The sequence below is a fragment of the Homo sapiens genome, chromosome 1 (genome assembly GCF_000001405.40).
Source record: "Homo sapiens chromosome 1, GRCh38.p14 Primary Assembly".
Classification (NCBI taxonomy): domain Eukaryota; kingdom Metazoa; phylum Chordata; class Mammalia; order Primates; family Hominidae; genus Homo; species Homo sapiens.
The window spans coordinates 218160398-218169923 of NC_000001.11; the positions used below are offsets into that span (position 1 = coordinate 218160398).

Consider the following 9526-nt stretch of genomic DNA (forward strand, 5'->3'; position numbering starts at 1 on the left):
CTGCAGCCCTCAAAACACAAAACTTGAAACAAATAGAAAAGTGGAGTTTCATAATTCAAGCTAACCAAAAACATTTTCAAGCTTCAACTTTTCAAGTTTTATTATATTGTTGTTCATCCTTCACTCCTACCAGCATAACATTATAATATTCTTTCAAGAATGCCATCATATGTGGGTGTGTGTTTGAGAAAAAGGTAGAAATGTCATTTTTATTCACTGAAGGATACCACCTATTATTTAGAGGTAAAACCTCTCCACTTCTCTTCCTTCTGAGTTGTTTCAAAGAAAGAGCTGAAAGGACAGAGAAAATGTTCCCCTGCTGCAGCATCTGGCTCTGGTTGACTCACCTACTGGCCACATTGGCAGCTTTGGGTCTGCTTTTTAGGGTATTCCTCGTATAGGCAAAAAAGATGAACTTGCCCTTGTGTGACGATATCTCATTTGGCTTCTCTCTCAATTTGGGGGGTCTATATCAATATTTAAATAAGATTGTAAAAAGCCCATCATGAAAAGGACAAACACATACATATACCCAATGCCAAAGATTTTTTTCTCCCACTCACAAAGTTTGTTTCACTTAACCATAGTCATCTTTCATCCAGTATCCATTTTATTCGTAAGTCATAAATGCAATTCAACGCAAACCTGAAACTGACTCGTATTTAAAAAAAACACTGCAGGTTTCTCTCTATGTATACACAAAAGTTATTTCTTCTTGATTAAGAACCTTCATGCAATGGTGTTATAAGGTAGAGGACGTTTTTCATCTAATAATAATAAATGACACACCAAAGGAACATTCTGTATCATGAACACTTTATAACCACAGTTCTTGCTTGATGGTTAACGTAAAACAAAATGGACAAGAGTTAACTATGAATCTAGTAGTCTAATGCTAATTACAATAAAATGATAGGTATTTTAAAGTTGTCTTTTTATTTTAGTGTCTTAAAATATACTGTCATAATAGCTAAAATAATTAAAAGCTCTCCAAATAATAAAATGCTGATTTTCTAAAACATTGCTCTAAATAAAACAAATGTGCATTTTTAAAGATAATGGTCAGTATTATTTGTATTTACTATATGTACCTAAATACAGCAATCCACACATTTACTCAGCATTATGCTCATTTAAATAATGTCTATTAATTTTTTAGCCATTGAAAGCTTATTATTAATATAAAACTTTTAATATTTTGTCCCTTTTCATTCTAATTCTTATAAAAAAGAGAAAATGGCAATATGAATTACCTTTTATTAATGTTTCTTTATAAATGCTACTTATATAAACATTTACTCCAAATGATTATGTGGACGCTCAGAATTTTAAATTGTTGTATTTTCCAGATCATTGCTGTAATAGGGAAAATACGAAAAACCAAAAATGCCTTGTAGATTGTAGGTCTGTTTTCTAGGAAGCTAAAATGTTTAATCCTTCTTTTCTTTGGGTGTAATTTGTCAGTTTAAGAAAAATAAAGGATAATTTGATGTTTGGTAACAATTTAGTTGGCAAATTTCTCAGAGAAATGTAGTAGCATTTGCTGCAATTATAAAATGGAGATGTGTTGATAGAATGCTCTGGTGTCAAAAAAATTGGGAACATTTTAAAGGCCATTTCATTTCCCACTCCTATCATTTTAAACAATCTATCAGGCTGTATGTAAAAACCACAAGGAAAAATATTAAAGCATTGCAGTGGGTGCATGAACATCTGTGGATATCATTGAAAGCCACTTAATAATCCCAATGAAAGAAGTTTTACATCTTAAAATCTGAGACCTCCTTATGCAAATCATTTTGCCTTTAGCCATTTCAAAAAGAAATGAAGGACCTAGAGGATTTTACAGTTTTACATAACACTGGTGAGATGGTTGCCAACTTTGATCTTACATTAATTAGTTAAGATCTTGACTGATCATAGCAACAGCTAACTCAAAAATCTGGTCCTCAGCTAAAATGAAAAATAGCCACAATCTAACACGATAAATATTTCTGCTTTATTTTGTATTGTATTCTGTATGTTTAGTGTATTATTGAATGACAATAACAAAACAAAATTTGTCGTGTAGTAAAGTGCTTTGCAATGATGTAAGTGCATTTTTTAGCCTTGTTATATAGAAATCAATCTCAATATGGGTATAAACCAAAAATGTTTTGGTTTTCTTCTGTTTAAAGACTAAGATTTAAGGAAATAACTCTACATACTTAATGTAATTATGGGAAATTAGGTTGTGGGTGTACTTCTGTAACATATCAACTCTAAATGAAATGAAATCTATTGCGTTACCATTGGCTGTTTTGTTTTTCCCAGAATGAAGTTGTCTCTAAGATAAAGCTTAAAGATATAGTTAACTTTTAGAAAATATGACCTTTCTATTATATATGAGAAACTAAAATTTAAAACTCACTAAACAGCCAATCCCTGCAAAGCATTTCCTTTTCCCTACAGGTAGTATGAAATGGAGCCCAAATGACAGGACCCCATCTGAGCCTCCCCAGCTCCCCTGGTCTGCACAAACCCACTCTATCAATCATGGCAGGATAATGCATAGAGGCTGCACCTGTGACAGGAAATGATTGAGTGCTGAACACAGGGCCTGCTTCGCCTGTCGCTTTGTGCATTTGTATTTCTCCAGGGCCGGTCTGAGAATTTTCAGAACTTGGGGGCAGGAGATGAGGGATTCCTATTGTATTTTGAAAAAGAAGGAATAATGCATTTTAATTATCAAGACATAACACAAAAGAGAAATTAGGCAGTAAAATGCCCTGGTCCACTCAGGTGTGTGAGAGCATCCGGGTAGCACAGGATGCAATATTATTAAGCTGTAATTTAGTTTAGATAAGCAGAGGATGCTGAGCATGGCTATTCTTTTGGAGATGCCTGATTCTCTAGTCGCAAAACAGACATTTGTTCCTTTATGATCACACACACACAAAGAACAAAAGGTCCAGGCTCACCTATTGTCCACAAAGACTGTAGAACCTACCTAACTTATTTGAGGACAGCAGCGAAAAAAAATACTTTTTAATTTTCTAAGTTCTTCCTGATGTTTTTTGGAAACCTCTGTTTTACTATGACGATCTAGTTATTTACATGGTTTGAGGTAGTGCCATAATCTGTTTTTAAGACATTGTAACTGTAGTGTAGTTTTAAATAATTTTCTGCTGATTCAGCCACTTACCGAAAATATATGTGGTGAAACCATGAAGTTTCTATTTTACAGTAGTCAATATTTTATTCGAGTTAATCCTTCTGCGTAGGATATATTTTTCCATTACACCAGTAAAAATATTGATAACATATTTTATTGTGCACTTTGTTCACATAATTCGAGTCTGCGTTTCTAAAATGACTAATTACTTTTATTTAAAAAATAACATTATCTATTAAAGAATGGTGACAGTAGGGACTAAACAAAAAGTAAAAACTCCAAAACTCTCCCCACCTAGGGTGTGGGGTCGGGGGAGGGAACGGTAACAATAAAAACAACATCTGAATATGTAAACTCAGTTTCTCGGGTTAGAATTTGCATTTTTGTCAGAACCAGAATTCACTGTACAGGACATCATCACATGCTCAGACTTCTAAAACATTTCGTGGAAGAGAGTAGACTGTTTACCGGATGCCCTTCTATTTTTGCCGTGCAGGATTAGTACCTTCTACTTCCTTAAATGTAGGCAAATAAAATTACGGAGAAATAAAATGACTGCAGCCTTTGAGCGCTGGTTTGTCCTAGGACAATCGGATTTCACCGGGTAACGTATATGCAAACAGACACGTCCCGTTTATTTCATTGTTTGCACTGCGGAGACTCTCCGCCGCTCTCCACGCCTTTGTTGACCTACCGCCAGCAAAGTTGTGTGGTTATAAATAGATAGAGGCAGCTGATTAAGAAGCGGGGGGAGTGACTTTCTCTGGGCTCTTACGGATCAATCACCGCTAAGGGGATGCAGGTTGAGGGGAAGGAAGAAAGTAAATCGCGGGGCAGTTTGACTAAGTGAAACCCAATTCCTTCGCCCCAAAGCTGTGGTGGCCAGACGTGCGCGACCCTCTAGACCCAAAACAGTTTTAGTCAGCAACGGGTCATCAGCAGGACCGAGAAGACTGGGTGGGAGGTCTGGCCGGTCCGAAATAGGGAAGAGGTGCGGGCTCATCACCGAGGCGGTAGGGCTCGGCTTATGGTCTAGAGCCTTGAGGCGCTCCCGCGTGAGCCCCGCTGCTTCCAGTCCGCCCTCGCCTGGCCCGGCGCGGGTCGCTCCCTCCTCCCCGTCCTGTTCCGCACTTTACCCAGCAGGGGTCCCAGGTCGAGCAGGGCCAACCCTGCTCGCGCAGCGCCGGACCCCTCCCCGCTGCCCGGGGTGCGGCGGCTTCCCTCCGCCCAAACGGGGGGTGTCTCCTCCATCACCCCTGCCGCGGCTTCCCAGTCGGAGTCGCGCTGCGGGGCGAGGGAGGCTCGCTCCTCCGCGGCCGGGGCCTGGGGGTGCCAGTGCGCCCCCGAGTGAGCGGGTAGGGAAGCCGAAGAGCCGCCGACCCGCTGCGCGCCCTCCAGTCCCGGGCGGCGCCGGGACCCAGAGCGGCCCCAGCCCGCGCCCCAGCGGGGACGCGAACGGCGTCTCGGGACGGCACCTCGCCGGGGCCTTGCCCTGTCCCGCCGCGTCGCGGCCTCTCCGCACCCCACGTCCCGGGAGCCGACCGGGAGACTCTCACGGCGGAGTTCCACAGACCTCGTTAGGTTAAAGGAACCTCGCCTTGCCCCCCACTAATCGGCTAGAGAGGGAGGCCGGCGAAACAAAAGCCGTAGAGGAAAATTAAGCGACTTCCCCCTCGGCGGGGAACTTGGAGGTGGGGGAGCGGGGAGCGGCGCGGGGCGCAAGGAGAAGGAAGTGCTGAGCTGGGTTGCCGACGAACCCCGGGCAGGGGGAGGTGGGGGGCTGCGGCAGAAGAAAGACAAACATCTGGGGATCGGACCATATGCCGGAGCTTTGTCTTGTCCTTCAAAGTTCGGCTGCCCTTGAAGTGATTTGTCAGGCGGCCCACGGGTGACAGGGAGGATGTGCAGCGGGGAGCGGGGGCGGGACATGCCGGGGGGAGCGGAGAGGGCTAGAAGAGAGGGGAGGAAGGGGGGACGCCAACAAGAGGGGGAGCAAAGTGACCCCGCCGCCCGAGGAACGGTAGAAACCGGGATCGCGGAGGTGCGAGCCCGAGCCCGGGAGCGGAGCGCTTCCCGGGGAGACGCCAAGACGGCGAGAAAGGAGGAGCGGGAACGCAGAGGTTAAGCGGAGGGAAGGCCGAGGAGAAACAGCCAGAGGACGGGAAGGAGGAAATAGACGGGGAGAAGAAACTGAAGATTAGTCGTTGAGGTGTATTAAGAAAGAGGACATGTCGCCTATTTTAGGAAAAGTGGCTTTGAGCTCCCCCCGCACCCCCACCATTTTTTCTTTCTCTTTTGCCCGCCAACCGCTGAACTGATTAGACTGTAATTAAGGCCATAAAGCCCTCAGATTATACACCTGTTTATTCACTGAAGTCGGGGTCTCATCAAGCAAATTAGCTGCTTGCAGGCTACACATTGGGCCTCGAGCTTGCCTGATTAATGAAGTTTATTGGGAGCTGTTAAAAGCATTAACTGGAGAAAATCTCAGCAATTCGTCATATTTAAGGGATGAAAATTAAATCTTGCTATGCAAATGAGAAAAAAATTTTAAACCATCTTTGGGGGGTTACTGTCTGCATATTATTTTGCTTTAAAATTCTGTTCAGGAAATAGGAATTAACATGAAATATTATTTGCCCTTAAAGTTATCAAAAATATTGAATCGCACCTTATGTGGCATTGTGGGGAGAGAAAAAGAAAACATAAGGAAATTCCCATATAGTCCGTTTCCCAGTGCAAAGAATTTTCTAAGACACCTAATCACAAAGCCAACTTTCACGAGAAACCCAGTTTTTAAAATTAATGTATCCAGTTACAGAATGAGATTTGGGAGTAGTCCTTCAAGGGGTTTAATGTTTGATGGTGGGTGGGGGGGACGATGAAATCAGCAGAGAGAGGAGGGGAGTTCATGTAAGTGCCCTGGATAAGGAGCACGTGTGAGAATGGCAGAAAAGCAGTAGAGTGGCAAGAAAAAGTATCCAAAATGAATCAATACTCTCATAAACTGGCTGTAGAAAATGTTTCTGTACAGTGTTTTTTACTGTAACCACTATGGTTCTTTGGACAGGTCGGGGAAGGTGTGATTATGAAAATAAACAAGGGAAGTGAGGGAAATATAACCAAGTGGAAAAAGGAAATGGAGTGCAAATTGAGAACATAATCCAGAATTCGTAAAGTATGTATTTACTTTAGGTGCTGCTTGGTAATATTGCCACACAAATGTTTATTAATGGTTGCAATTATATAAGTGACGGGAGAGTGATTTCAGTACATTCATTATGCTTGAAAAAGGGGGGAATCTCTTTTCTACAAGAGTAACAAGAGTACATATATAAATGCCTTCTGTTTCAACAAAATATTGAAAATAAAAACGTAGTGAATAAATTATTTTAGTTAACGAAAAGCTTATTGTAATGCCAGTCTTTCCAGATTTATTTTTAAGTCTTTTCTATTATTTTTTCTAAGGACATTTTAGATATCAGTGGAGTTTGAAATGTCTGACTGATATTTGTTTCAGGACAGTGTATGTTTTATAATTTCAGTAAGATATATAAAATAGAGTATATGAAATAGAAACTCTGAGACAAAAGAGAGCGGCATAACTAATAGAAAATTAGGTAATTTTAAAGAAAATTTATCTCATAATATTCACCTCTAATGGATTCGGTTTTAAAGTATTTTATAGATCTTTATAGTTATTCTCACTAATATTGTACTTCAAAATTGATTTTCTGGTTAATTTTAAATTTTTTATTTTAAAAAACTTAAAGCATTGAGATTTACTAATTTATCTTCCCTGAATGAAGTTACTTATAGTTGGCTAAAGAAAGTCACAGTAATCATTCATATTAATATTTCTATTTTAAAGGTTCGAAAAAACTTTCAAATTTATACATTTCTCCCCTTTGGTGTGGGTATAATACAACTTTGTGAAACTAAAATTTGTAAATTTAAAGTCTAGAAAACCTAACACCACCACTTACAAACATAGATAACCTTGAAAAATAGTCGTTTGTCTTAATCTTTAAAATTCTTTAAATTATTTATTATCTCCTAAAAACTTCAATACATTCTAAATTTGAAACACAAATTCCCTTTTGTTTCTACAAATATTAGGTACTAATTATAAAATGATTATTTTAAACAAAGGAACTGTAAACATTTTTATTTTAATATTGGAAATAAAAAATCATCTAAAATATAGTTATTGGTAAGGATGAACAATTCTTGATACGTGCATCTGATACTATTCCTTGGATTATTAGAACACAGTTTTCACTAAACTAACTATTAAAGGGTTATTCAGTAAAAGGAACACATATGTAAATTAAATACATTTTTGCTCAAGCAATACAAGTTTTGAAAAGAACAGTTCTTCCTATAATTTTGAAGTAACTTGAAGAACAACAGTTATCCTTTGTGCTGAAATCAGTCGTTTCTCAGGACTTGACTTTACTTTTAATATTTAATTTAAACATATAAGTGGGAGAATAGAGATGAGTAAATTATCTGAGGGTATTTTAAAAATACATTTTGCGTAAATACATTTTAAAATATTTCATATCTCACATTTTTAAGATTAGAACATTTTAAAATGATCCTATGCTGATCTTAGGATACTTGTCACTGTGGTATCCAGTGTCTAACGGTTCATTTAAAATATGGATATTTTTGTACAAAGATAATTTGCCTTTAGAGTGTACAGTCATACAGCGTGGGCTTCTGAGCTACTAATGGGTATCTGTTATTGTCATTTGTATTTCTGATCTCTAGAGTGGTATGGATAAAGAAGGTCAAAATGGTCTCTGATGAAAAGAAACTTTTAAAATGCTTGGAAAAGTTAATGAATTAGATTTCCCTGCACTTGAAGATATTAGGATTGGGAGATCAAGACTCCCATCAGCCAAATCAAGAATATTCACAATTGACAGGAAAACTCAAAGTTTCTTTTTCCCCACCAGAGAAATGTCTCCCACCCCCATAGCTAAACAGTGGTAAGTCATAGAAATGATTATATTAGCTTAAAGAGAATGTTTCCTAAGCAATAAACTTCAAGTGCACACAACCTAGTTTTTATTTTATTTATTTCATGTAGTTTGTCATAAGTGCTTGAAAATACTTCTTGCAAAAATGTCCTTTTTAACTTTATAAAACTTGTTTTCTGCTGTGGATAAAATTACTATGTGATAAACTATAGTTTTTTTTTAAAGTCTTTGCAGCAATAATGAAAGTTCAATGAAAAGAACATAACTAGAAGCGATGTGCAACACCCCTTTATTTTTAAATAGCCTTTAAATGATTTACGAAATAAAAATGCTAGTTCAGTTTCCCTTAAATAACCAGTATTTCACCAAATATTTTCTGCGTTCTTAAATGTTCAAAATATTAGCATATAAAAATAATTCTCTCTATGTGTTCTTTAAGACCCACTGCATTTTTATCAAAGCCTTCAAAAAAATGCAGTGTTCTAAGACATAGTTTAATATGATCAGTTGGTTTTAAAAATGTATTCTTTAATTTTTATGGAACAGTATATGAAATAAAGAAATATGGCATATACCTTTGAAGATGAGTCAGGATTTCAATAATATTTAGTAGGTATCCTTAATATACTACATTTCATATTTTGGGTTCTTAGAACTGAGAGCTTCTTTGTAGAAGCTGACTTAAATATTAGAATTTATAGTTCAAACCTGTGTTTTGGTTATTTTAATACAGTAAAATTATTAATGGAAAAATAGGTGCATGAAGTTAATAGTTGACAACAGTGTCATTCTCAACCATGCAAATATTGCTCAAAATGAAATACGTTTTATTGTATATTTCCAGGGCAGCCTTTTGAGTCTAGAAAGGTCAGTAACAGGATTTTATTTTGATACATGATATGACCTAATTATTTCACATGTTGCAGAAATCCGAAGTGGGTAGAGCGTGCCTTTTTTTTTTCTTTGAGGTAAGTCTAAATTGCAACAGCTAAAATGCCTTCCTATAACTGTAATGAGATCAGTGGGTTTCAAGTATGGAATGAATCAATTATTGTAAGCAAAGCCCCTGCGTAAATCATGGAATGCCAAACCAACCTCAGGATTATAAAATGAATCTGTGACAAGTATTCAGGGTTTCCACATAGTCTCAATAATGAGAATGAAGTACCTAGTATTAAGTGAAAGCAAAATTTTATTCCCTTACTAAGGAATACATGCATATCTATTAAAAGAGGCCAGATTGAATGAAGCTTTTTAAAAAGGGTATCTAAGCAGCATTAAAGATAGAAATCTATGATAAATATGTATAGTTTATATTAAAAAGAGAAAGATGCCAAAAGCACATTGAATGAAATGAGTGAGACATAACTATGTTAACGGAAAA

General features: G+C 38.0%; 1 long non-coding RNA gene across 3 annotated transcripts; it reads left to right on the plus strand.

Annotated features, from left to right (window-relative positions):
- Positions 1-4659: 4659 nt before the first annotated feature.
- On the plus strand, positions 4660-8222 carry LOC105372923 (uncharacterized). 3 transcript variants are annotated; one of them, XR_001738467.2, is made up of 3 exons: positions 4660-4845; positions 6225-6332; positions 7931-8222. It is a non-coding gene; the product is annotated as an uncharacterized LOC105372923 (long non-coding RNA). The 3 variants fall into 3 exon arrangements; XR_001738468.2 differs by lacking the exon at positions 4660-4845 and adding an exon at positions 5164-5274; XR_007067049.1 differs by lacking the exon at positions 4660-4845 and having other exon boundaries at positions 5164-6332.
- The last annotated feature ends 1304 nt before the right edge of the window (positions 8223-9526 follow it).